The sequence below is a fragment of the Homo sapiens genome, chromosome 19 (genome assembly GCF_000001405.40).
Source record: "Homo sapiens chromosome 19, GRCh38.p14 Primary Assembly".
Taxonomy (NCBI): domain Eukaryota; kingdom Metazoa; phylum Chordata; class Mammalia; order Primates; family Hominidae; genus Homo; species Homo sapiens.
The window spans coordinates 17,157,108-17,184,064 of NC_000019.10; the positions used below are offsets into that span (position 1 = coordinate 17,157,108).

General features: G+C 50.5%; 1 protein-coding gene across 2 annotated transcripts in view, besides 7 other annotated features; it reads left to right on the forward strand.

Moving 5' to 3' along the window:
- MYO9B (myosin IXB) overlaps nucleotides 1-26,957 on the forward strand; it is a 137,510-nt gene that overhangs the window by 81,331 nt on the left and 29,222 nt on the right. For both annotated transcript variants that reach the window (NM_001130065.2, NM_004145.4), the window contains exons 8-16: nucleotides 2,288-2,377; nucleotides 5,243-5,359; nucleotides 5,881-6,015; nucleotides 10,836-10,957; nucleotides 15,229-15,370; nucleotides 15,652-15,856; nucleotides 18,556-18,634; nucleotides 23,820-23,933; nucleotides 26,722-26,761. In NM_001130065.2, coding sequence (NP_001123537.1) covers nucleotides 2,288-2,377; nucleotides 5,243-5,359; nucleotides 5,881-6,015; nucleotides 10,836-10,957; nucleotides 15,229-15,370; nucleotides 15,652-15,856; nucleotides 18,556-18,634; nucleotides 23,820-23,933; nucleotides 26,722-26,761 — 1,044 coding nt within the window. The remainder of the gene's footprint in view (nucleotides 1-2,287; nucleotides 2,378-5,242; nucleotides 5,360-5,880; nucleotides 6,016-10,835; nucleotides 10,958-15,228; nucleotides 15,371-15,651; nucleotides 15,857-18,555; nucleotides 18,635-23,819; nucleotides 23,934-26,721; nucleotides 26,762-26,957) is intronic.
- Nucleotides 2,074-2,891: an enhancer, noted in NCBI's record as "OCT4-NANOG-H3K27ac-H3K4me1 hESC enhancer chr19:17269991-17270808 (GRCh37/hg19 assembly coordinates)". NCBI's record gives its function as "activates a minimal SCP1, AML or CMV promoter by ChIP-STARR-seq in naive and primed H9 embryonic stem cells {active_cell/tissue: H9 hESC(naive and primed)}" and the evidence as "EXISTENCE:reporter gene assay evidence [ECO:0000049][PMID:30033119]".
- Nucleotides 2,892-3,709: an enhancer, noted in NCBI's record as "OCT4-NANOG-H3K27ac-H3K4me1 hESC enhancer chr19:17270809-17271626 (GRCh37/hg19 assembly coordinates)". NCBI's record gives its function as "activates a minimal SCP1, AML or CMV promoter by ChIP-STARR-seq in naive and primed H9 embryonic stem cells {active_cell/tissue: H9 hESC(naive and primed)}" and the evidence as "EXISTENCE:reporter gene assay evidence [ECO:0000049][PMID:30033119]".
- Nucleotides 3,710-4,525: an enhancer, noted in NCBI's record as "H3K27ac-H3K4me1 hESC enhancer chr19:17271627-17272442 (GRCh37/hg19 assembly coordinates)". NCBI's record gives its function as "activates a minimal SCP1, AML or CMV promoter by ChIP-STARR-seq in naive H9 embryonic stem cells {active_cell/tissue: H9 hESC(naive)}" and the evidence as "EXISTENCE:reporter gene assay evidence [ECO:0000049][PMID:30033119]".
- Nucleotides 20,657-20,840: a silencer, noted in NCBI's record as "fragment chr19:17288573-17288756 (GRCh37/hg19 assembly coordinates)". NCBI's record gives its function as "represses an EF-1alpha promoter that drives an FKBP-Casp9 reporter gene in an ReSE screen in HepG2 liver carcinoma cells {active_cell/tissue: HepG2}" and the evidence as "EXISTENCE:reporter gene assay evidence [ECO:0000049][PMID:32094911]".
- Nucleotides 23,466-24,058: an enhancer, noted in NCBI's record as "H3K4me1 hESC enhancer chr19:17291382-17291974 (GRCh37/hg19 assembly coordinates)". NCBI's record gives its function as "activates a minimal SCP1, AML or CMV promoter by ChIP-STARR-seq in primed H9 embryonic stem cells {active_cell/tissue: H9 hESC(primed)}" and the evidence as "EXISTENCE:reporter gene assay evidence [ECO:0000049][PMID:30033119]".
- Nucleotides 24,059-24,650: an enhancer, noted in NCBI's record as "NANOG-H3K4me1 hESC enhancer chr19:17291975-17292566 (GRCh37/hg19 assembly coordinates)". NCBI's record gives its function as "activates a minimal SCP1, AML or CMV promoter by ChIP-STARR-seq in primed H9 embryonic stem cells {active_cell/tissue: H9 hESC(primed)}" and the evidence as "EXISTENCE:reporter gene assay evidence [ECO:0000049][PMID:30033119]".
- Nucleotides 24,153-24,447: a silencer, noted in NCBI's record as "tiled region #761; HepG2 Repressive non-DNase unmatched - State 15:Elon". NCBI's record gives its function as "represses a minimal TATA promoter and a strong SV40 promoter by Sharpr-MPRA in HepG2 cells {active_cell/tissue: HepG2}" and the evidence as "EXISTENCE:reporter gene assay evidence [ECO:0000049][PMID:27701403]".

Genomic DNA, 26,957 nt, shown 5'->3' on the forward strand with positions numbered 1-26,957 from the left:
ACCATACCCAGAACTTCCTACGTCAGCTGAGGTTTCATCAACCAGGACCTCACGTCTTCCGCTATCATCTCTACAGTGTTCCTTCCTCATTTCTGATGAGCTCTGTGGACAGGGGCACCTCCTCCTCCCACCCTCAAGTGAAAGCCTCTTTAAAACTACAGCTCAGGGGCCGGGTGCGGTGTCTCACCTGTAATCCCAGTACTTTGGGAGGCCAAGGTGGGCGGATGACCTGAGGTCAGGAGTTCGAGATCAGATTGGCTAACATGGCAAAACCTCATCTCTACTAAAAATACAAAAAGAAATTAGCCAGTGGTGGTGGTACATGCCTATAGTCCAAGCAACTTGGGAGGCAGAGGCACGAGAATCACTTGAACCTGGGAGGCAGAGGCTGCAGTGAGCCAAGATTGCGCCACTGCACTCCAGTCTGGGCGACAGAGCGAGACTCTGTCTCAAAACAAAACAAAACAAACAAAAAAAAACTACAGCTTGGGGCTGGGTGCGGTGGCTCATACCTGTAATCTCAGCTACTCGGGAGACCGAGGCAGGAGGATCACTTGAGGCCAGGAGGTCCAGACTAGCCTGTACAGCATAGCGTCTGTCGATCTCTACAAAAAATACAAAAATTAGCCAGGTATTGGTGGTGTACTCCTGTAATCCAAGCTACCCAGGGGGCCAAGGCAGGAAGATTGCTTGAGCCTAGGAGTTCATTGCCGCCGTGAGCTGTGATCATGCCACTGAACTCCAGCCTGGGTGAGTGACAGAGTAAGGCCCTGTCTCTTAAAAAACAAAAAATTCTAGTTTGATCAAGTCATTTTCTCATTGGACCTGCCATCCCCTCCTCCTCCACCGGTTCTCAGCCAGGGGCAGTTCTGCCCCTAGGACACACTGGGCAATGTCTGGAGAACTTTCTGGTTGCCATACTCTGGGTTGCTCCTGGCATCTGCTAGGTAGAGGCCATGGATGCTGCCCAACACCCCACAGCGCACAGGACAGCCCCCCAATGGCAAAGAATTATCCAACCCCAAGTGCAAATGGCAGTGAGGCCGAGGAGCCCTACCCCAGTCTTTTGTTTTTTAATCCATTTATGCTTTGCGTTCCATTATTGGTACAGGAGCCCCAGCTTCTGTTGAGTTCTTGGGGATATGTGAGCATCTGCTGGGATATTTAGAGAAAGCCCCTGCCAGCCAGGCACGGTGGCTCACGCCTGTAATCCCAGCACTTTGGGAGGCTGAGGCAGGTGGATCGTCTGAGGTCAGGAGTTTGAGACCAGTTCGAGAACTTCAGGCCCCAAAGCCTGACCAATATGGAGAAACCCCATCTCTACTAAAAATACAAAAATTAACTGGGCATGGTGGCAGGTGCCTGTAGTCCCAGCTATTCGGGAGGCTGAGACAGGAGAATCACTTGAACCCAGGAGGCAGAGGTTGCAGTGAGCCAAGATTGCGCCACTGCACTCCAGCCTGAGCAACAGAGCAAGACTCCATCTAAAAAAAAAAAAAAGGAGAAAGCTGCCGCTTATTCCCCACTCTTGCTGCTGGTGGGCAGAGACCACCAGCTCTGAAAGGGAGCTTGGCAGTGCGGGGAGGGATGAGCGTGTCGGCTGTCTGGGTAAGGTCTAAGCCCAGGCCCTGTGCAATGGATGGGAACCACCAGCTCCAATAGGCAAGGCGGCCACCTGGACCCGTGGCTCGCACTCACATAAGGCCTGTACATACACATACCCGGGCCACGGAGCATGAGCATCCGGCAAGCCCGTGCTATGTGGGAATTCTGAAACCTGCCAAGTGTAAAACAGTACATCGCAGGCCAGGTGCAGCGGCTCACGCCTATAATCCCAGCACTTTGGGAGGCCCAGGCAGGCAGATCGCCCAAGGTCAGGAGTTCGAGACCAGCCTGGCCAACACAGAGAAACCCCATCTCTATTAAAAATACAAAAATTAGCTGGGTGTGGTGACGGGTGCCTGTAATCCCAATTACTGGGGAGGCTGAGGCAGGAGAATTGCTTGAACCCAGGAGGCAGAGGTTGCAGTGAGCCAGGATTGTGCCACTGCACTCTAGCCTGGGTGATAGAGTGAGACTCTGTCTCAAACAAACAAACAAACAAAAACCAAAAAACCAGCACATCGCGGGTGGGTGGGTGGGCTTCAGGTCCCACTTCTAGGCCTGGCTGCTGGGGGTCCGTCTCCCAGCTGCCTCAGGCTCCGGGCGTTGCCTCAGTGATACCAGGACATGCCTGATAAGTCCTCCATCTCCCTTTTCCTTCTCCCTCTCCTTGACCTCCAAACAGGTGAAGCGAGAAATCTTGGTGGAGGTTCTGACCAAAAGAAAAACGGTGACCGTCAACGACAAGCTTATCCTTCCCTACAGCCTCAGCGAGGTGAGCTCTGCCCAGGCACTCACAGGGTGCCAGATCCCAAAAACCAAGTGGGAATGGTCTTTGGAAAGAGCCGGCATGGGTGGGCTGTTCTGTCCCTGAATGCTAGAATGGAACCTAGGCAGTGCCTCTGATTGTCATGCAAGCTCAGGTGTGGCACAAGCCAGCCTGGGAGGCAAACCATGGGCCTCAGGCCAGAACTTGAGCCACATGCATTCAACTCTGTGTTTCCAGATGTTCCGTGTGCATGCTGGTTCTCACTAGCAATGGTTGGCCAGATCCAGCCCTCCACCTGGTTTTGCTAATAAAGTTTTATTGGCACATGGCCATACCCATTCATTTACATACCACTTAAGACTGCTTTGGAGCCATAGCAGCTAAGCAGAGCAGTTGCAACAGAGAACATCAGGCCCCAAAGCCAAAAATAATGACTCCTTCATCCCTTCCAGAAAAGAATTTGCCCATCCCTAGACTCTGGAACATGACACTGACTACCCTTATGTAACTCCCAGCCTGTGAGTCTCAAGCCTGTGACTCTAAACCTTGATCAGGTGCCTCCCTCTGGTCTTTGCCCCAGCCTGGATGTTTTCTCTGTGCTGTATTTCTCTTGCATTTTTACATCTCAAGAGCAGGATCACTTGCAGCTTGTTTAACAATAGGAAAGTACCTAATCACGGCAGGGATTTTTAGCCCCTCACCCGATGGGAAGCTGCTGTGGCATTTCAAACAGGCACCGGGGACATTCTGAGCCCACATGGGTCCAGGGCACCACGTGATATTGCTGCATATCACCCAAGACCCGAGCAGCACTGGTGTCCCCAGAGGCTCCATGCAGAGCCAAAGGCACCAGGCAGGGGCTGCATTCTGTGTGGCTCCATTTCCTTGACACCCAAGAAATGCAAAACGAGGGGGACACATTCTAGATCTTGTCTGTAGCTGAATACATCTGTCAGAGCTGAGACCTGAATATGTGGGGAAAAAAGCCAATTTATTCCATATAGATTAGACCTTAAGAGCTTCTTTTTTTTCTTTTTTTTTTTTTTTTTGAGATAGCGTCTCACTGTTGCGCAGGCTGGAGTGTAGTGGCACAATCTCAGCTCACTGCAACCTCTGCCTCCTGGGTTCAAGTGATTTTCATGCCTCAGCCTCCTGAGTAGCTGGGATTACAGGTGTGCGCCACTAGGCCTGGCTAATTTTTTTTGCATTTTTATTTATTTATTTATTTATTTTTATTTTTGAGACAGTTTCGCTCCTGTTGCCCAGGCTGGAGTGCAATGGCAGGATCTCGGCTCACTGCAACTTCCGCCTCCAGGGTTCAAGCAATTCTCCTGCCTCAGCCTCCTGAGCAGCTGGGATTACAGGCATGTGCCACCACGCCCGGCTACTTTTGTATTTTTAGTAGAGACAGGGTTTCACCATGCTGGTCAGGCTGGTCTTGAACTCCTGACCTCAGGTGATCCACCCGCCTCGGCCTCCCAAAATGCTGGGATTACAGGCGTGAGCCACGGTGCCCAGATTTTTTTTTTTTTTCCTTTTGCATCTTTAGTAGAGACGGGCAATCCACCCGCCTCGGCTCCCAGAGTACTGGGATGACAGGCGTGAGCCACCACGTCCGGCCACAAAAGAGCTTTGATGCACACGGTGACAGCCACATGGTGCACCCGGAAGAACAAGGGGCCTGAAGTTAGTTAGACCCTCCTTGCTGGTTCTACCACAGTCGCACGCCCCACCCCCTCCCCGAGCCCAGGTTCCTCACTCAGCAGCAATTTTGGTTGCTCTGAGGAGCGTATGGAAAGGCTTCAGCGGCCGTTCCAGAGGCTACTGGGTCTGTTAACGCCTCAGTGTGCAGGCACATCCTCCAGGACAGGGTGAAATATGGGTGTTGGATGAGTCGAGTGTTGACAGAGACCACCTTGGCTGGTTGCAGTGGCTCACGCATGTAATCCCAACACTTACGGAGGCCAGGGCAGAAGGATTGCTTGAGCCCAGGAGTTAGAGTCCAGCCTTGGCAACATAGTGAGACCCCGTCTCCACAATAAAATTAAAAATTAAGGCCAGGCACGGTGGCTCACGCCTGTAATCCCAGCACTTTGGGAGGCCAAGGCAGGCAGATCGCTTGAGGCCATGAGTTCGAGACCAGCCTGGCCAACATGGCAAAACCCCGTTTCTACTAAAAATACAAAAATTAGCCAGGCATGGTGGTGCGTGCCTGTAATCCCAGCTACTCAGAAGGCTGAGGCTGGAGAATCGCTTGAACCCAGGAGGGAGAGGTTGCAGTGAGCCAAGACTGTGTCACTGTACTTCAGCCTGGGCGATAGAACAAGACTCCACCTCAAAAATATATGTATATATTAAAAATTAACCAGGTGTGGTGTTGTGCGCCATAGCCCCAGCTACACAGGAGGCTGAGGCAGGAAGATTGCTTGAGCCCAGGAAGTGGAGTTTGCAGTGAGCCAAGATTGCGCTAGTGCACTTCAGCCTGGATAACAGAGTGAGACCCTGTGTCAAAAAAAAAAAAAAAAAAAGTACAAAGGGCCATCTTGGCCAGACACAGTGGCTTATGCCTGTAATCCCAGGACTTTGGGAGGTCAAGGCAGGCAGATCACCTGAGGTCAGAGTTTGAGACCAGCCTGGCCAACATGGTGAAACTCCATCTCTAGTAAAAATACAAAAATTAGCCAGGTATAGTGGCGCTTGCCTGTAATCTCAGCTACTTGGGAGGCTGAGACAGGAGAATCTCTTGAACCCAGGAGGTGGAGGTTGCAGTGAGCCGAGATCATGCCACTGCACTCCAGCCTGGATGACAGAGCAAGACTCCAGCGCAGGGCCTGCCGTGCCGGAGGTGAGTCACCCCCTCTGTGTCCACAGGCCATCACTGCCCGCGACTCCATGGCCAAGTCTCTGTACAGCGCCCTGTTCGACTGGATTGTGCTGCGGATCAACCACGCACTCCTCAACAAGAAGGACGTGGAAGAGGCAGTCTCGGTGAGTGCCCCCATTTGCTTCCTCAAGCCCGGCCAGGGGAGGCCACATCCTCACTACCAATATCCTTGGTGGGCGACCTGGAACATCCGGAGCCGAGGCATCTGCAATCAAGAGGCTGTTTCCCCACAAGGACAGGCCCAGGAAACAGGACAGGCTACGAAATTCAACAGGCCCAGGGCAGAATGAAAACATAAGGCCCCTTATTCAAAAACGACAGATTCTGGCATGTACCTGTGGTCCCAGCTACTCAGGAGGCTGAGGCAGAAGGATTGCTTGAGCCCAGGAGGTCAAGGCTGCAGTGAGCTGTGGTGGCGCCACTGCACTCCAACCTGGGCAACAGAGCAAGACCCCATCTCCAAAAAAAAATTATGGATTCCATGCTGGTAATGGCAAAGTGTTCTGCCGAGCAACAGGGACTGGGGACCTAACAGGTCACAGCCTGTAGAGCCAACCCCTCTCATGAAGGCTGGCTCCCTCGGGGTGCACCTGCGGGCAGTGACCATTTTCTCTGTCTCTCCCAGTGCCTGTCCATTGGGGTCCTGGACATCTTCGGGTTTGAAGACTTCGAGAGGAACAGCTTTGAGCAGTTCTGCATCAACTACGCCAATGAGCAGCTGCAGTATTACTTCAACCAGCACATCTTCAAGCTGGAGCAGGTGCGGAAAGGGCTTTTTTGTCAATTTTTTGAACTTGGTAAATCAGACATCACGTGAAATTTACCATCTTAACCATTTGTAAATATTCAGTTCAGCGGCGGTAAGTACATTCACATATTCGCATTGTTATGCAAACGCCACCACCATACATCTCCAGAACTCTTTCATTTTGCCAAACTGAGACTCTGTCCCCATGAAACACTCACTCCCCATTCCCCCTCTTGCAAGCCCTGAACTCACCCCATTCCACTTTTTTTTTTTTTTTTTTTTTTGAGACAGGGTCTTGCTCTGTCACCCAGCTAGAGTGGTATAATCATAGCTTACTGCAGCCTCAAACTCCTAGGCTCAAGTGATCCTTCCTCGGCCTCCCGAGTAGCTGGAACCACAGGTGCACACTACCATGCCTGGCTAATTTTTGTATTTTTTGTAGAGACAAGGTTTTGCCATGTTGCTCAGGCTAGTCTCGAACTCCTGAGCTCAGGCAATCTGCTCACCTTGGTCTCCCAAAGTGTTGGGATTACAGGTGTAAGCCACCATGCCTGGCCCATTCTATTTTCTGTCTCTATCATTTTTGACTAAGTGCCTCATATAAGTGAAATTAGACATTATTTGTCTTTTTGTGACTGGCTTATTTCGCATAGTATAAAGTCCTCATGGTTCATCCACATAGTAGCATGTGTCAGAATTTCCTTCCTTTTCAAGGCTGAGTAATATTCCATTTTCTGGATGTACCACATTTTGCTTATCCATCCATCCTTCAGTAGACACTTGGGTTGCTTCCAGCTTTTGGCTATTGTGCATAATGCTTCTTTGAACATGGGTGTGCAAATATCTCTTCAAGACGCTGCTTTCAATTCTTTCGGGTATATACCCAGAAGTGGACTTGCTGGATCGTATGGTAATTCTGTTTTTAACTTTTTTGAAGAACCACCATACTGTTTTCCATAACAGCTGCAGCATTTTATAAGGAAATATCATGTTGTTGCACACCCAGCCCAAAGGGAAAATAGCATGAGCTAGAACCGGAATCTCCCTAGAGGCCCAGATCATTGGTGAACTTGCCCCAGAATTTTTCTCAGTCAAAAGGAAAACTTAAGAAAACCCACCCAGCCCAGGATGAGGCAAATGTCAGGAATGTTTTGAGCCACAGTTCATGTGGGGGCTTCTGTGTCCAAACAGAAAATCTTTTTGTTAGTTGAGAAACAGGGTTGCCTTTTAAGGATTTGCTTAGCTCAAGGACATTGATAACCTATCTGACGTGTCTTTTTTTTTTTTTGAGATGGAGTCTGGCTCTGTTGCCCAGGCTGGAGTGCAGTGGCACGATCTCGGCTCACTGCAACCTCTGCCTCCCTGGTTCAAGCGATTCTCTTGCCTCAGCCTCCCGAGTAGCTGGGACTACAGGTGCATGCCACCATGCCCAGCTAATTTTTTGTATTTTTAGTAGAGATAGGGTTTCACCATGCTGGCCAGGCTGGTCTCAAACTCCTGATCTCAGGCAATCAGCCCACCTTGGCCTTCCAAAGTGCTGGGATTATAGGCGTGAGCCACCGCGCCTGGCCCTGATGTGTCTTTTTGCAGCTAAATAGTCAACCATCCTTATTCATGTCTTCTCCTTCACGTTGATGATTCTGATGGGAAAATGAAACTGACAGGCTTATGTAAATATCCAGCTGATTTTCCTATTAAGCTTTTTGGCAGTGAAGCATTGGGAGTGTAGCTGGTCAGAATTAAGTTGTGCAGGAAGGGTGTGACATACACACTAAATTGTGAAGACTTAGCACATGAGAAAAAAGAACATACACGGTCTCAGTACCTTACTGCAGCCTCAAACGCTGAGGTTTAGGCGATCCTACCACCACAGCCCCCTGAGTAGCTGAGACTGTAGTTGCACACCACCACACCCAGCTAGTTTTTTGGTTTTATTTTTTGTAGAGACAGGGTCTTGCTATGTTGCCCAGGCTGGTCCTGAACTCCTGGCCTCAAGTGATCCTCCCACGTTGGCCTCTCAGTCATTTTTATGTCAGTTACACATTAACGTGATCACATTTTAGATACACAGGGTTAAATTAAGTGTATTATTAAAGTTAATTTTGAGCCACACAGAGGCACATATCTGTAGTCCCAACTACTGAGGAGGCTGAGGTGGGAGGATCCCTTGAGCCCAAGAGGTCGAGGCTGCAATGAGCTACAGTTGTGCCACTGTACTCCAGCCTGGGTGACAGACGAGACCCTGTCTCAAAAAAAAAAAAATTAATTAATTTCACCTTTTTTTTTACTTTTTACATGTGATTATTAGAAAATTTGAGGCTGGGCATGGTGGCTCATGCTAACAATACCAGTGGTTTGGGAAGCCAAGGTAAGAGGATTGCTTTAGGTCAGGAGTTCAAGGCTGCAGTGACCTATGATCACAACACTGTACCCCATCCTGGGCAACAGAGTAAGACCCTGTCTCTAAAAAAAAAAAATTTGAGATGGAGTTTCTGCGAAAAAAAATTTTTTTATTAACCAGGCATATAGTGGCACATGCCTGTAGTCCTAGCTACTGGGGAGGTTGAGGCAGGTGGATCACTCGAGCCCAGGAGTTTGAGGCTACAGTGAGCTGTGATCGCACCGCTGCACTCCAATGTAGGCAACAGTGTGAGACCCTGTCTCTTAAAAGAAAAAAAGAAAATGTGAAGATTCCTGTTGGACAACATAGCTCTGGAACAGGGGCCAGCAAACCACAGCCTGTGGGTCAAATCCAGTCCCACAAATTGTTTTTATAAATAAAGCTTTATTGGCACATAGCCTTTGGTTTGCATTATCATCTGTGGCTGTTTTCACATCACGACTGTTAGTTGCAACAGACATTGTCTGGTTCATAAGGTGCTATCTGGCCCATTACAGAGAAAGTTTGCCAACCTCTAAATGATTTTAAGTGTGATTTTTTTTTTTTCTTGAGGCAGAGTCTTGCCCTGTCATTCAGGCCGGAGTGCAATGGTGCAATCTCGGTTCACTGCAACCTCCACCTCCCAGGTTCTAGTGATTCTCCTGCCCCAGCCTCCCCAGTAGCTGGGGTCACAGGTGTGTGCCACCAGGCCCGGCTAATTTTTGTATTTTTAGTAGAGACAGGGTTTCACCATGTTGGCCAGGTTGGTCTTGAACTCCTAACTTCAGGTGATCTGCCCACCTCAGCCTCTCAAAGTGCTGGGATTACAGGCGTGAGCCACCACGCCCAGCCCTTGTGTGATATTTAAAGTGCCATGCTGTGATCAGTATTTAAGAATGTGCATTCTTGTTTCCTGTTTACAATCATTCATTTATCTAGTAAGTTTATGTAACTATTAATGTATTCATATTGATTTACTCATATGCATTTTGTTACTGATATATTTATGTTTTTTTTTTTCACTTTGAAGTTCAGGGGTACATGTGCAGATTTGTTACATAGGTAAACTTGTGTCATGGGGGTTTGTTGTACAGATTATTTCATCACCCAGGTATTAAACCTAGTACCCACTAGTTATTTTTCCTGATCCGCTCACTCCTCCCACCCTCCACCCTCCAATAGGCCCCAGTGTGTGTTGTTCCCCTCTATGTGTCCATGTGTTCTCATCATTTGGCTCCCTCTTATAAATAAGAACATGCAATATTTGGTTTTCTGTTCCTGCATTAGTATGCTAAGGGTAATGGCCTCCAGCTCCATCCATGTTCCTGCAAAGGACATGACCTCATTCCTTTTTTATGGCTGGGTAGTATTCCTTGATGTATATGCACCACATTTGCTTTATCCATTAGTGGGCATTTAGATTACTTATTTGTTATTGTGAATAGTGCTGCAAAGAACACACACATGCAGATACATTTATATGTAAACATGCCTATTGATACATAAATATGTTCCTACAGTGTGGGGATCCCTTATCCAAACTGCTTGGGAGCAGAAGTGTCTCAGGTTTGGGATTTTTTTCAGATTTTTCAATATTTATATTATACTTACTGGTTGAACATCCCAAATCTGAAAATCCAAAATCTGAAATGCTTCAATGAGCGTTGTCTTTGAGCATCACATAACATTGGCAGTCCAAAAGTTTTGGATTTTTTTTTTTTTTTTTGAGATGGAGTCTTGCTATATTGCCCGGGCTGGTCTCAAACTCCTGGACTCAAGCCATCCTCCAGCCTCAGTAAAGTATTTTTTACTTTTTATTTTTTGCACAGACAGGATCTTGCTATGTTGTCCAGGCTGGTCTTGAACTCCTGGCCTCAAGCGATCCTACCACCTTGGCCTCTCAGTTACTTTTTATGTCAGTTACATGTTAACATGATCACATTTTGGATATATCATGTTAAATTAAGTGTATTATTAGAGCTATTTTTTTTTTTTTTTTTTTGTGACGGAGTTTCGCTCTTGTTGCCCAGGCTGGAGTAGGACTAATGGCGCAATCTTGGCTCACTGCAACCTCCACTTCCCGTGTTCAAGCGATTTTCCTGCCTCAGCCTCCTGAGTAGCTGGGATTACAGGCTTGTGCAACCACGCCTGGCTAATTTTGTATCTTTAGTAGAGATGGGATTTTGCTATGTTGGTCAGGCTGGTCTCAAACTCCTGACCTCAGGTGATCCACCTGCCTTGGCCTCCCAAAGTGCTGGGATTACAGGCGTGAGCCACTGTGCCCAGCCCTATTAGAGTTAATTTTAAGCCACGCATCAGTTTAAAAAGTTTCCTATTTTGAAGCATTTCAGATTTTCGGATTAGGGATACTCGACCTGTATGCAATATATGTTATGTAGATATTACATATCTGGGAGATAAGAAACTTACCGACCCCGCGCCACCCCTGCAGGAGGAATATCAGGGCGAGGGGATCACGTGGCACAACATCGGCTACACAGACAATGTCGGCTGCATCCATCTCATCAGCAAGAAACCCACGGGCCTCTTCTACCTGCTGGACGAGGAGAGCAAGTGAGTGTCCACACCCCGTCCATCCCGGCACATCTACGCATGGGCACTGGGTCAGGTTCTGCAGCCCCCAGAGCCTTACCCCAAATCCAGACTTTCCCAAGAGCGCCTTTTTATTTTTGAGACAGGGTCTCACTCTGTCACCCAGGCTGGAGTGTAGTGGTGCAATCAAAGCTCACTGCAGCCTTGACCTCCTGGGCTCAAGTGATCCCCTGACGTGAGCCTCTGGAGTAGCTGGGACTACAGGGTCACACCACCATACCCGGCTAATTTTTGTATTTCTTTGTAGCAACAGGGTTTCGTCATGTTTTCCAGGCTGGTCTTGAACTCCTTAGCTCAAGGGATCCTCCCGCCTTGGCCTCCGAGAGTACTGGGATTACAGGCGTGTGCCACCACGCCAGACCTTGTGCTGAGAACTTGTGTCTGTTCATTTCACTTGACCACAAAACCCAAGCTCGTGTGTGCAAAATGCACAAACACCTCATTGTGAAAACATCAACACGTGTGATTAATTCGTGCACTTGAGGCACATCCGCCAGGAGTTTTCAGCAAAGGATTATGGGCCTATGCCTAGAAACTAGACACTGGGGCCAGACGTGGTGGGGCATACCTGTGGCCCCAGCTACTCAGGAGGCTGAGACAGGAGGATCACTTGAGCCTGGGAGGTTGAGGCTGCAGGGAGCTGTGATCGTGTCACTGCACTCCAGCCTGGGCAATGGAGCAAGAGACAGGATTGGCGAGTTGTTACAAAGGGCAGTGCAGTGTGTGGAATTGGGACCCAGATGCTGCTGGGCTCTGGTCTCACTTCTGAGCCTTCCTCCCTCATCCCCACAGTCCACAGGGCGCTGTGAAGGCAGACAGGTCAATAAGGCACCTCATTCTGGGTCACCCAGTTGTAGTCACTGAAATCACGTGACACATACCGAACTACTTTCCTGTGGCTCCTCTAAGGAACCGCTACAAGCCAGGTGGGCTCTTGAGCCCAGGAGATCAAGACCAGCCTGGGCAACACAGAAAGATTCCACCTCGGCCAGGCACAGTGGCTCACGCCTGTAATCCCAGCACTTTGGGAGGCCGAGGCAGGCGGATCACCTGAGGTCAGGAGTTGGAGACCAGCCTGGCCAACATGGTGAAGCCCCGTCTCTACTGAAAATACAAAAATTAGCCGGGCATGGTGACAGGCGCCTGTAATCCCAGCTACTCAGGAGGCTGAGGCAGGAAAATTGCTTGAACCTGGGAGGCGGAGGTTGCAGTGAGCGGAGATCACTCCATTGCACTCCAGCCTGGGTGACAGACCAAGACTCTGTCTCAAAAAAAAAAAAAAAAAAAAAGATTCCATCTCTACAAAAAAATTTTTAACCAGCCTGGCCAACATGGCAAAACCCCATCTCTACTAAAAATGCAAAAATTAGCCAGGCATGGTGGCGGGTGCCTATAATTCCAGCTACTTGGGAGGCTGAGGCAGGAGAATTGTTTGAACCCGGGAGGTGGAGTTCTTAAAACCACAGTAATCTATTCTCTTATGGTTCTGGAAGCTGGAAGTCTAAAGTCAAACTGTCAGCAGAGCTGTGCTGCCTCCAGAGGCTCCAAGGGAGGACCCTTTCTTGCCTCCTCCAGCTTCTAGGGGTCCAAGCTTTCCTTGGCTTTTGGCCACATCACTCCAGTCCCTGCCTCCCTCTTCCTCTTCACATGGACTTCTTCCCTCTGTGTCTGCATCATTCATCTCAATCCTGTCTCCTCCTTTTTTTTTTTTTTTTTTTTTTTTTTTTTGAGACAGGCTCTTCTTGCTCTGTTGCCCAGGCTGGAGGGTAGTGGCGCCATCTTGGCTCAAGTTAATTGGCGTCATCTCAGCTCACTGTAACCCCCACCTCCCAGGATCAAGCGATTCTCGTGTCTCAGCCTCCCGAGTAGCTGGGATCACAGGTGCCTTGCCACCATGCCCAGCTAATTTTTGTATTTTTAGTAGAGATGGGGTTTTTTCACCATGTTGGCCAGGCTGCTTAAAAATTTTTTTTTGTAGAGATGGAATCTCCCTGTATTGCCCAGGCTAGTCTTGAACTCCTGGGCTCAAGCAGTCCTCTCACCTTGACCTCCCAAAGTGCTGGGACCATAGGTGTGAGCCATTACACCTGACCCTGTCTTCTGTTTTTAGAAGGACACCATCCATATGGAACTAGGTCCCACGCTAATGACCTCATCTTAACTAATTACATCTCCAAAGACCCTATTTTCCAAATAAGGTCACATTCAAAAGTTGGTGGTATGGGGTTAAGATATGGACATATTGTCTTATCAGCAGCTCTATCAGACCCATCCCTTGCCAATGACATCTCCAAGGGGCTGGCCAGAGACTCAAATGAATGAGGCACATCCCCTGCCTCAAACCTAGTCCCTGTCCAGGTCAGGGAGACAGACACATCCCTCTGAGGCTGGGGTCCAGGTAGAGAATGTTCAGATAAGAGCATTTGTGCCAGGTGCGGTGGCTCCCACCTGTAATTCCAACACTTTGGGAGGCCGAGGTGGAGGATCATTTGAGACCAGGAGTTAAAGACCAGCCTGGGCACCATAGTGAGACCCCATCTCTACAAAAAAAAAAAAAAAAAAAAAAAAAAACTAGCTGGGCACAGTGGCATGCACCTATAGTCCCAGCTACTCAGGAGGCTGAGGCAGGAGGATCACTTGAGCCCAGAGAGTCAAGGCTACAGTGAGTTGTGATTGTACCATTGCATTCTAGCCTGGGCAACAGAGCAAGACCCCAGCTCTAAAAATTAAAAAAAAAAAAAAAAAAGTAGAGACGGCAGTAGGAGGAGCTACGTCATCACAACCAGGAAACTCCCAGGGTCAGATCAGGGGAAGCCCGTGAGGCAAGGCCTGGCCCAGCAGGCTCGAGTCTCTTTAAAATCTTGCTATTTTTGCTCATCATGGAATTTTTTTTTTCTTTTTGCACATTGATTTAGATTTTCTGAAATACTGTGCTAAAATATTACCTATCTCAATGACTGAGGGTTTTGGGGGACACTCAAGGCAGATGCCTTACACTCCATACCCTCTTTACAGTCCTGGAAATGATATGTTTCATAGCTATAGACTCTCCCCTCCTTGGCCCCGTTAACGCGGAGCCCCCGATGTTGGGATCTGGGCATGCGTTCCGCTGCCTGTATTTTCAAAAGTGGGGCCGGGCTCAGGCAGCATTTGCCAAACCAACAACATCATTTCCCTCCTGGGAGGCAGACTCAGTCAGGTACAAGGAGTCCCTTATTCTGCCCCCACAATCTCCCCCTCCCCGGAGCACAACAGAGCCCTGCTTCATCCTCCTCTCCTAGCCTCTTCTTCCAACTGTGGAGCAGGAGAAGGACCCCCTGTCCAAGGTATGGCATTGAGGTACAAATGGCTCCAAGACCAGAAGTCACCCAGGCCCAGGATTATTCTTAGGAGCTGCCTACGATGGGTAACAGATCCAGACCTCCCAGGGGACAGACTTTGCAGACGCCACCAAGCCTGGTCAGCGACCTCTCTCCAAGCCCCCTAGAAAACAGCCATGTGGGGTCGAAGAGAGTGAGCCACCCAGACTCAGGCACTGGGCTACTCAATGTTAATTCTGCAGCCCTGGCTGGGCGCGGTGGCTCACGCCTATAATCCTAGTCGTTTGGGAGGCTGAGGCAGGAGGATCACTTGAGGCCAGGAGTTCAAGACCAGCCTGGGTAACATAGCAAGTCCCCTTCTCTTAAGAAAAAGAAAAACATTGTACTATAGTCCCAGCTACTCAGGAAGCTGAGGCAGGAAGATCCCTTGAGCCCAGGAGGTCAAGGCCACAGTGAGCTGTGATCGTACCACTACACTATAGCCTGGGCAACAGAGTGAGACCCTGTCTCCAAAGAAACAAATATTTTTCTGTTTTAAAAATCCTGAAGCCTTGAGAGCGTCACTTCACCCTCAGCCTCCTTGTACCAGGCTGCAGCTATGCCAGCTGACGCAGAGAGCAGAGTCCCAGCCCTCCACCAGCGTGTTCAGCATGAGGCAGGCAGGCACACCCAGATAGCAGCGTCCCAGCCCTCTGCCAGCATGTTCGGCATGAGGCAGGCAGGCGCACTGTCATTCCTTCCTTTCTTCACTCCTTCACCCACCCCTCTGTGCACAGAGCCCTGTGCCACTTCACTGCTCTGCCCACCCCATGCACCCACCCACCTCGTGCACCAGGGGTCTGCAAGATAAAATACACAGCAGGTAAATCAGCCGCTGTTCATGCCTGCAAAGGTTCCATGTTCTGTTCCCAGCTTCCCCCACGCCACGAGCCAGACCCTGCTGGCCAAGTTCAAACAGCAACATGAGGACAATAAGTACTTCCTGGGCACCCCGGTCATGGAGCCAGCTTTCATCATCCAGCACTTCGCAGGGAAGGTGAAATATCAGATCAAGGTAGGTGTCTGCCCATCACCACTGGTGGAAGCCTGAGGGAAGCCACAGTCAGCCCAGAAGCCCATGTGGGAGGATCCTCCTGTGGGCGAGGTTCCAGGGTGCTCAGAACCCACCGCGAATCCCCGGCTCCAATGTCCAAGGCGCCATAGTTCAAGAACTGCCATTTGCACTTAGGATGGGCCCCACCCCACCGTCAGCCCTTCCTGCGCCAGCCCGGGGTCTTTGGTAGGCGCCGGTGAGTGACTATCCCCGAGTGACCGCCCACATCCATCCCCCACCAGGACTTCCGGGAGAAGAACATGGACTACATGCGGCCAGACATCGTGGCCCTGCTGCGGGGCAGTGACAGCTCCTACGTGCGGGAGCTCATCGGCATGGACCCCGTGGCCGTGTTCCGCTGGGCCGTGCTCCGGGCTGCTATCCGGGCCATGGCAGTGCTTCGGGAGGCCGGACGCCTGCGGGCCGAGAGGGCCGAAAAGGCTGCAGGTGGGAGCTGGGGCGTGAACCCACAAAAGCGTCACTGTCGAGAGGGGGGCACATCCTGAGTTCATCTTAAAGTGAACACTTCAGTGGCATTTAGTACATTCATTATGTTGTGCAAACGCCACCTGTCTACCTGAAGTGTTCCTGTCACCCTGAACAGAAACTCGACCTGCGTGTGTAATTTAACCTCAGGGCATGCTATCAGCAACTCCATCAGGCGTCTCCTTTGCAAATGATGCCCTCTGATCCCACTGGCCCTGGGAGTTTGCTGATTGTGATAATGTAGCTCTTCCTAGTGTTTTGCCTCTTGTTTCTCTCTCTCTGTCTTGCTCTTTTTTTTTTTTTTTTTTTTTAGAGACAGGGTCTCTCTCTCTCTCTCTCTTGCCCAGGCTCTAGTGTAATGACGCAATCTCGGCTCACTGCAACCTCTGCCTCTTGGGTTCAAGCGATTCTCCTGCTTCACCCTCCCAAGTAGCTGGGACTACAGGTTACCGCCACCACATAGGCTAATTTTTGTATTTTTAGTAGAGACGGGGTTTCGCCCTGTTGGCCAGGCTGGTCTCGAACTCCTGACCTCAAGTGATCCGCCCGCCTCTGACTCATGAAATGCTGGGATTGCAGGTGTGAGTCACCATGCCCAGCCCCAGCCTCTTCTCTTAACTGAGCATTCTCTACTGGGAACCCAGCCTCAAAGGGACATTTCTGTTCCCCCGTCCTAGACAGAGATGGTTTGAGGCAGGGGGTGTGCCTGATCCACTCAAGACTTGGGCCAGCCCTATAGAGTTGCTGATAGAAGGATGGCAGAAAGCTATGTCCTCATTTTTCCCAGAGGCAACCTGAGGCCTGCATGGTTGAGTGGCTCACCCAGGTCTAAGGGCTCCAACCTTCCGTCCTCAGCTTCAGTTTCAGTTATCAGCTGTGGCTTCTGTCTCCGGAAGGGGCTTCATGAAAAGGAGGAAGGATAAAGCTTTCCTGAGAAATAGGAAATAGTGCTCTGTTTTGGGGATCCAAAACTTCACAGTTACCCACCCAACTTTGCCCCAAACTTGAGTGATGAGCTGCTTTTTTTTTTTTTTTTTTTTTTTTTTGAGACGGAGTCTTGCTCTGTCGCCCAGGCTGGAGTGCAGTGGCGCGATCTCGGCTACTGCAGGCCCCGCCTCCCGGGTTCACGCCATTCTCCTGCCTCAGCCTCCTAAGTAGCTGCGACTACAGGCACCCGCCACCACGCCTGGCTAATTGTTTTGTATTTTTTAGTAGAGATAGGGTTTCACCATGTTAGCCAGGATGGTCTCGATCTCCTGACCTCACGATCCGTCTGGCTCGGCCTCCCAGAGTGCTGGGATTACAGGCGTGAGCCACCACGCCTGGCCAATGAGCTGCTTTTTAAGATCGGTCTGCCAGGTGCAGTGGCTCAAGCCTGAAATCCCAGCACTTTGGGAGGCTGACGCAGACGATCGCTTGAGGTCGGGTTCAAGAGCAGCCTGACCAACATGGTGAAAGCCCATCTCTACTAAAAATGCAAATATTAGCCAGGCATGGTAGTGCATGCCTGTGGTCCCAGCTACCACAGGGAGGCTGAGGTAGGAGAATCGCTTGAACCCGGGAGGCGGAGGTTGCAGTGAGCCAAGATCATGCCAGTGCACTTCAGCCTGGATGACAGAGCAAGACTCCGTCTCAGAAAATAAATAAATAGGCCGGACACGGTGGCTCACGTCTGTAATCCCAACACTTCGGGAGACCGAGGTGGGTGGACCACGAGGTCAGGCGGTTGAGACCAGCCTGGCCAACATAGTGAAACCCCGTCTCTAGTAAAAATACAAAAAATTAGCCAGGTGCAGTGGCAGGCACCTATAGTCCCAGCTACTCAGGAGGCCGAGGCAGGAGAATCACTTAAACCGGGGAGGCAGAGGTTGCAGTGAGCCAAGATCGCGCCACTGCACTCCAGCCCAGGCGACAGTGCAAGACTCTGTCTCAAAAAAATAAATAAATAAATAATAAATTAATTAATTAATTAATTAAAAGATGGGTCAAAGTGTCTGGGTACAATGGTGCACACCGGTAGTCCTAGCACTTTAGGAGGCCAAGACAGCTCTCTTGAGGCCAGCTATTTGAGACCAGCCTGGGCCACATAGTGAGACCCCATCTCTCCAGAAAAGTTGAAACTTAGTCATGTGTGTCAGCATGTGCCTGTAGCCCCAGCTACTTGGGAGGCTGAAGTAGGAGGATTGCTTGAGCCCAGGAGTTGGAGGTTACACGAGCTGTGATCGCACCACTGCACTCGGCCTAGGCAATGCAGCAAGACCCTGTTGGTAAAAAATTAAAAAAAAAAAAAAAAAGGTTGGGGGGTGTTGCAGAGACTCATGCCTATAATCCCAGGATTTTGGGAGGCCAAGGTGGGCAGATCACCTGAGGTCAGGAGTTCAAGACCAGCCTGGCCAATATGGCAAAACCCCGTCTCTACTAAAAATACAAAAATTAGCTGGGCACAGTGGCCTGTAGTCCTAGCTACTCAGGAGGCGGAGGCAGGAGAATCCCTTGAACTCAGGAGGCAGAAGTTGCAGTGGGCCGAGATCGCGCCACTGTGCTCCAGCCTGGGTGACAGAGCAAGACTCCATCTCAAATAAATAAATAAAATGGGTTAAAATAATTGCAGCCTCCATAGGAGGCCATCCCCACCACCATCCACTCTGTGTCTCCGGCAGGTATGAGCAGCCCTGGTGCCCAAAGTCACCCAGAAGAGCTGCCAAGAGGAGCCAGCACCCCTTCGGAAAAACTTTACCGGTGAGCAAGACCCTGATTTGCCCAAACTGAAATCATTAGGTGGCAGCAGCATTGTTTCAAACAACTTAGGGAATGCTACATTCTTTTTTTTTTTTTTTTTTTTCTTTTGAGATGGAATTTCGCTCTTGTTGCCCAGGCTGGAGTGCAATGGCGCAATCTCGGCTCACCCCAACTTCCACCTCCCGGGTTCAAGCGATTCTCCTGCCTCAGCCTCCCGAGTAGCTGGGATTACAGGCATGCGCCACGATGCCCAGCTAATTTTGTTTTGTTTTGTTTTTTGTTGGTTTTTGTTTGTTTGTTTGTTTTTAGACAGAGTCTTGCTCTGTTGCCCAGGCTGGAGTGCAGTGGCGTGATCTCGGCTCACTGCAGGCTCCGCCTCGCAGGTTCATGCCATTCTCCTTTCTCAGCCTCCGGAGTAGCTGGGACTACAGGCACCCGCCACCACACCCGGCTAATTTCTTTTGTATTTTTTTTTAACTAGAGACGGGGTTTCACCGTGTTGGCCAGGATGGTCTTGATCTCCTGACCTCGTGATCCACCCGCCTCAGCCTCCCAAAGTGCTGGGATTACAGGCGTGAGCCACTGCACCCTGCCTAATTTTGTATTTTTAGTAGAGACGGAGTTACTCCATGTTAGTCAGGCTGGTCTTGAACTCCTGACCTTGGGTGATCCACCTGCCTCAGCCTCCCAAAGTGCTGGGATTACAGGCGTGAGCCACCAGGGAATGCTACATTCTAAACCCAGGTCGAGGTTGCTCTGAATAAGTCACTGAGCTTCCATTTGAAACAGAAAGACCCAGAACCAAGCAGCATTTGGTGGCTGCTTTTCTGGACACAGAATAGCAGGCCGTGGTGCATCATGCGCTTTAGGGAGATGGGAGGAGGCTCAGTTTACAAAGGATCCATTTTATGGCCTAGGGTGGGCACTGGGAGGTAGAGCCCAAGCATCGATGGTGGTGCGGAGAGACGGGCTTGATTGATTGGAGAGTTCTTCCCCCATCCTGCCTGGAGTGGCCCAAAAGTAGTTCTGCCAAGTTACTTCATTCACAGTCAGAAACACATACACTTTGATATTGCACATGAGATGACACGGGGTCTTTTGTGGACCCTAGCAATGACCAAGGGCCCTGCACGCACCCAAGCATGTGCCAGCACCAGGGTAGAAAAGTGAGCAGGCTGGCCAGACGTGATGGTGCACGCCTGTAATCCCAGCACTTTGGGAGACCAAGGCGGGCGGATCACTTGAGGTCGGGCGTTTGAGACCCGCCTGGCCAACATGGTGAAACCTCGTCTCTACTAAAAATACTAAAATTAGCCAGGCGTGGTGGCGAGTACCTGTAGTCCCAGCTACTCGAGAGGCTGAGGCAGGAGAATTGCTTGAACCTGGGAGATGGAAGTTGCGGTGAGCCAAGATCGCACCACTGCACTCCAGCCTGGGTGACAGAGCAAGACTCTGTCTCAAAAAAAAGTTTTTGGAATCACCTTTTTCACCCAAAATGGGACACAAGTAAGGAGAATGCATTCCTCTGTTGTTTTTGTTTGTTGGTTTTTTTTTTTTTTTGGTCCCCCAAGTTCCCAACAGCTAGAAACTTCCTTCTATTTCATTGTGTGGGTTGCATTTTTGTTTTGTTTTGTTTTGCTTGAGACCAGGCTATTGTGCAGTGGTGTAATCACAGCTCACTGCAGCCTCAACCTCCTGGGCTCAAGCAATCCCCCCACCTCAGCCTCCCAAGTAGCTGGGACAACAGGCACACGCCACCACGCCTGGCTTATTTTTTCTTTTATAAAGACAGGGTCTGATTATGTTGCCCAGGCTAATCTCAAACTCCTGGCCTCAAGCCATCTTCCCACCTCAGCCTCCCAAAGTGATGGGACTACAGGCATGAGCCACCACACCCAGTCCTCTTTTTTTTTTTTCTTGCCTCCGTTACCCCAAAGACAAAGTGACTTCTGACCTGCGGTAGCAGAAGCAGCATCCATCTCCCCAGGGCCTGGCCACAGGGCTGCAGGTCCCGCCCAAGGAGCATGTTAAGTTTATACAGATTCTCCCTTTCAGCTGCTCAATGCTAGATTTCTCATTTGACGGCTCTGAGGAGTTCGATATTAACGCTTTTGAGGACATCATTGCTTTCTATGAAAGCAAGAAGTAAGTGCAGAAAGGGCCTTTGATCCCGAGGCCAGCAAGGCACCAAGGGGAGCCATCTTCCCCAGGTGCTCAGTGCTGCGTCCAGGACACAGACAGAGAGGACTGGCCGTTCAGGGAATGCCAGGGCCTGCAAGGGCCACTCCTGCCAGATTTGCAGATTTAGCCAGGTCGGCAGGGCTGCGGGTGGGCCAAAGTCATGGGCCTCATTCCAAGCCGTGGCCGCTGCACTGACCACCCTGGGTGTGAAGGCCACTCGCATATAGAGGTGACAGGCGACCCCTCTGTTGCCTTTGCTCTGCCTCCCTGGAGGGCTGGGGAGAGCAGGTAAGTGGGGCCATGGGGGCACTTGGCATGGTGCATGGAGCACAGGGGCTGGGGTCGGGTCCTTCCAGGCCACCTGCCGAGAGCTAAAACATGTGCTTTGAACGACTGCCAGCAGGATGCGGTAGCACGCACCTGCAATCCCAGCGCTTTGGGAGGCCAAAGCCGGAGGATCACTTGAGGCCAGGAGTTTGAAACCAGCCTGGGCAACATAGCAAGACCACACGCCTACAAGAAAAAATAAATAAAATGTCTGGAATAAGGAATTCAAAAAAAAAAAAAAAGCAGGAAAAACCAGATCCTCATTTCTAGAAGTTCTGAGTTCTGTCAAAAACATTTGTCATTTAGACATTCCTCACTAATATTTAGTTTGAAAGCATCCAGTTTTCATCTCTAAGGCATTCTAATTCACACACGGTATCAGTGCCAAAGTTTGCACCTCCGCGTGCGTGCTCAAGCCTAAGCCCACAGCCATCAAACAAAATGAAGCGAGTAAGGTTGAGTGCTTTGAGGGTAATTATCCCCTTAAACTAGGGTTTCTCTGGCCGGGCGCAGTGGCTCACCCCTGTAATCCCAGCACTTGGGGGAGGCATACGTGGGCAGGTCACTTGAGGATGGGAATTCAAGACCAGCCTGGCCAACATGGTGAAACCCTGTGTCTACTAAAAATACAAAAATTAGCCAGGCGTGGTGTGCACCTGTAATCCTAGCTACTGGGGAGGCTGAGGCAGGAGAATCACTTGAACCTGGGAGGCGGGGTTTGCAGTGAGCCGAGATCACACCACTGCACTCCAGCCTGGGCAACAGAGCAAGACTCTGTAAAAAAAAAAAAAAAAAAAAACTAGGGTTTCTCAACCTCAGCACTGTGCCAGATCATTCTCTGGGGTGGGCACCCGTCCTGTAGACTGTAGGGTGTTGAGCAGCATCCCTGGCCTCCACCCACCAGATGCCAGGAGAGCACCCCCACCCCCAAGTCATGGCAACCACAAATGTCTGCAGACATTGGCAGATGTCCCCTGATGGGGATGGTACCGCCCCGGTTGAGAACTGCTGTGTTCAAACTGTGGCTCTTGTATTCAAATTAATTCCTCCAAAGGCCTTAATGAAGCCAACAAGGAGATTGACATCTGGCCACAAAATCATGGAGAGAGACTAATTTGCTCCTCCCACAGAGACCCTCCCTAGGGTCTTTTTTCTGAGTCGCCCCAACTGATTTTTTTTTTTTTTTTTTTTTTTTTAGACAGAGTCTCACTCTGTTGCCCAGGCTGGAGTGCAGTGGTGCGATCTCGGCTCACTACAACCTCTGCCTCCCAGGTTCAAGCGATTGTCGTGCCTCAGCCTCCGGAGTGACTGGGACTACAGGCATGCGCCACCATGCCCAGCTAATTTTTGTGTGTTTAGTAGAGACGGGGTTTCACCATGTTGGCCAGGCTGGTCTTGAACTCCCTACCTCAGGTGATCTGCCCTGCTCAGCCTCCGAAAGTGCTGGGATTACAGGCATGAGCCACCGCGCCCAGCCTGTCATGGAATTTAAAAAATAAATAGGCTGAGCAGGGTGATGCATGTCTGTAATCCCAGCTACTCAGGAGGCTGAGGCAGGAGAATCGCTTGAACCTGGAAAGTGGAGGTTGCAGTGAGCTGAGATCGCACCACTGCACTCCAGCCTGGGCAACAGAGCAAGACACTGTTTCCAAAAAAAAATAAAATAAAAATAAAAATAAATTTAAAACTAAATAAATATCCCCAGCCAGGCGCGGTGGCTCACACCTGTAATCCCAGCACTTTGGAAGGCTGAGGTGGGCCGATCACAAGGTCAGGAGTTCAAGACCTCCCTGACCAACATGATGAAACCCCATCTCTACTAAAAATACAAAAATTAGCCGGGCATGGTGGTGCACGCCTGTAATCCTAGCTATTTAGGAGGCTGAGGCAGGAGAATTGCTTGAACCCAGGAGGCAGAGGTTGCAGTGAGCTGAGATTGCGCCATTGTACTCCAGCCTGGGCGACAGAGTGAGACTCCGTCTCAATAAATAAATAAATAAATAAATATCCCCAAAGGCTCTTAAATATGAGAACTTTTTCAGTGATCCAAATGAAAAGGATCGAATAAAGTGGAATGACCAGATGGAAATAATTTTTTTTTTTTTTTTTTTTTTTTTGAGACAGAGTCTCGCTCTGTCTCCCAGGCTGGAGTGCAATGGATGGCACTATCTCAGCTCACTGCAACCTCTGCCTCCCGGGTTCAAGCAATTCTGCCTCAGCCTCCCACGTAGCTGGGATTACAGGTGCCCTCCACCATGCCCAGCTAACTTTTTGTATTTTTAGCAGAGATGAGTTTCGCCATGTTGGCCAGGCTGGTCTCGAACTCCTGACCTCAGGTGATCCACCCGCCTCGGCCTCTCAAAGTGCTGGGATTACAGGTGTGAGCCACCGCACCCAGCTGGAAATGATGTATTGAAAAGGATCAATGATCTGTGTTGCCAAGTCCAATTTGCCTCAAAGCCCTGCCCCGCTCCAGGGCTTGGGGAGGCTGGCCCAGTCCCCATTTCTGGCAAAAGAGAGAGGGGCAGCATTGAGCACAGTGTCTTTCCCCCAGCTGCATGTTTTGGCTTCAGTGGCCTGGGGATGGTCCCAATGGCGCTGGGAACCCCGAGGTGGCAGGCCTGCTTCTAACTCCATCTTCTTTCTGTCACTGCGCCCCCTCCACCCCTCCCCTCAGCGATTTGCATAACCAAATGATCAAGAGCATCAAAGGATTGCCCTGGCAGGGCGAGGACCCCCGTAGCCTTCTCCAGTCCCTCAGTCGGCTCCAGAAACCCCGCGCCTTCATCCTGTGAGTCCCCCACCAAGGCCCTGCTTACAAGTGCGACAACCGCCTCCCACTACTCCTGCGACCCCGGCGGGGCCTGCAGTCTTCCTAATTTGCATCGGCCACTAAAACCACAGTGCTGTCTCATGGCCCACCCCCAGCCATCACTAAATGCCAATCAATAACACCCCTGGCCTCTGTCTGCACTGTGGCCCAGGCACAGCCGGCTTCCCAGCACACGGGGCAGCTTCCCAGGAGCACTCCTTCTTCGAGGCATCTAATTTTCCACCCGCAAACGTGCCATCCTCCGTCTCCTCCCCGTGCCTATCTGGCTTGCAGAGCAAAGCTTGCTCCCGCCTTTGCCACTGTGAGTTTGCAGAGAAGCCATCTGCAGCAGGGCATGCGATTTCCCAGAGAGGGTGGCCCTGATCTCTGCAGGTGGCCACATAAGCCAGTCAGGAGAGCCCAGAAGGTGCATAAACCGGTTTGGGATCCCGACTGTTAGCACACTGTGGGATTGAGTAGTCTCTGCTTTCAGCCTGCAAATGGGGTAATGACTCTCATGCTTCCATTATGCTGACCCAGCACCAGGCAGGCAGCAGCCTCAGCTGACAAGACATCCACCTGCGGTCACCACATCTCGCCTTTTAGTGGCCATTGGGGTGTGGGCTGGCTGAGAGCAAAGCTTGCACCTGCATGGGAGCCAATGAGAGCCAGTTTCTTTCTTTCTTTCTTTCTTTCGTTCGTTCTTTATTTCGTTCTTTCGTTCTTTTTTTGAGACGGAGTTTCACTCTTGTTGCCCAGGCTGGAGTGCAATGGTATGATCTCGGCTCACTGCAACCTCTGCCTCCCGGGTTCAAGCGATTCTCCCACCTCAGCCTCCTGAGTAGCTGGGATTGCTAACACCTGCCACTACTTCCAGCTAATTTTTTGTATTTTTAGTAGAGATGGGGTTTCACCATGTTGGCCAGGCTAGTCTTGAACTCTTGACCTCAGGTGATCCGTCTGTCTTGGCCTCCCAAAGTGCTGGGATTACAGGCATGATTCACCGCCCTTTTTTTTTTTTTTCTTTTTTAAGAGATGGGGGTTTCATTCTGTTGCCCAGGCTACAGTGCAGCAGTGAAACGATCACCGCTCACGGCAGGTTCGACCTTCTGGGCTCAAGCAATCCTCCTGCCTCAACCTCCAGAGTAGCTGGAACTACAGGTGCGCATTACCACACCTGTCTAATTTTATTGTTTGTAGAGGTGGAATCTTGCTATGTTATAGCCCAGGCTGTCAGGCTGGTCTCAAACTCCTGGGCTCAAGCGATCTTCCTGCCTCAGCCTCTCAAAGCACTGGGATTACAGGCATGAGCCACCGCACCCAGTGGGAGCCTGTTTAAAACTTCTGTTCCTTTTTTTTTTGAGGCAGAGTCTCACTCTGTCGCCAGGCTGGAGTGCAGTGGCTCAATCTTGGCTCACTGCAACCTCCACCTCCCGGGTTCAAGTGATTCTCCTGCCTCAGCCTCCCAAGTAGCTGGGATTACAGGTGTGCACCACCACACCCGACTAATTTTTTTCTGTTTTTAGTAGAGATGGGGTTTCACCATGTTGGCCAGGCTGGTCTTGAACTCCTGACCTCAAATGATCCGCCCACCTCGGCCTCAAACTTTTGTCCTTGTTGTGCCTTATTTTACCCCACAGGGATTCAGGTGAAACTGAATGCAACCACGGATGGCTAGGCATCTCACAGATCTACAAGTTACCATCTCCTTAGCCGGTCTTCAAAAGGCACCAGGCCTTTTGAATAAATAAATATATTTACTTATTTATTTATTTTCCCCCTTGGTCTGCAAGATTCCATAAGGTGTCTGAGAACACAGGAGCTATCCCCTTCCTTACCTCGGCCAAAAGAGCAGCTTTGGGTTTTGGGGGGGGTTTTGAGACAGAGTCTCTCTCTGTCACCCAGGTTGGAGTGCAGTGGCACGATCTCGGCTCACTGCAACCTCCGCCTCCTGGGTTGAAGCAGTTCTCCTGCCTCAGTCTCTTGAGTAGCTGGGATTACAGGCACCCGCCACCACACCTGGCTAATTTTTGTATTTTTAGTAGAGACAGGGTTTCACCATGTTGGCCAGGCTGGCCTTGAACTCCTGACCTCAGGTGATCCGCTCACCTCAGCCTCCCAAAGTGCTGGGATTACAGGCGTGAGCCACTGCGCCTGGCCAGCTTTGGTTTTCTTCTTTCCCACCAGCATGATCCTGAAAGGAGCTCCCACCCAGGCCCCATTTTGGTTATTTTGCAGGGCAAGTCCCTGCCCTGCCAGCAGAGGGTTCCAGAAGGGCCTCTGTGGGCCTGCTTGGCATCTACCAGCACATGGCAAAGACAGCCTGGTCACCTGGTCACCACCAGGACTGCTCAGGCTCCCTCCGCCCCACTCGGCATCCTGCTGTGATCTGGGGGATATGTCAGTTCCTCCATAGCAAGCCCCGCTGGATGCACGTCCCACCCTGTAGATTCCTAGCCAGCCCCTCCTACTTCTCAGACATCCGAATGGCCCCCAGACTAAACACTTTACTCAGCTTTGGGGCAGCCACCAGCAGAGTCCGGGTGCCGCCAACCCAGGGAAACTGGTGTCCACAGACAGTGGCTGAGGCACGCCACGGTGTGCAGCGTGGAGAGGTGGCGGTGGCCTTGTTGCACTTGCGCCTTCTCACTCTCTCCCCTCTCTCTGTGTCTCTCAGTCTAACCCGCCAGGCGTGGCTTGCTGAACTAACCCAAATCCCGACACTGTGTTCCTTTTGTTCACAAAACCATTTTTAATATTTTGACAGGAAAAGTAAAGGTATCAAACAAAAGCAGATCATTCCAAAGGTAAAAAAAAAAACACACCCCGCGCGACACGTTCCAAGATATCTTGCTTCTCTGCCCGTCTTGAGAGCTTTCACTTCTGCAACTTCATTTCCTCCTCCTTCCCACTATCTCCCCCTCCCTCCAAGAAAAAAAAAATGTTCTCGTGTTGAGATGATTTAGAGCTGTCTCTTTATGGGTTTCCCAGAAGCAGGGTCTG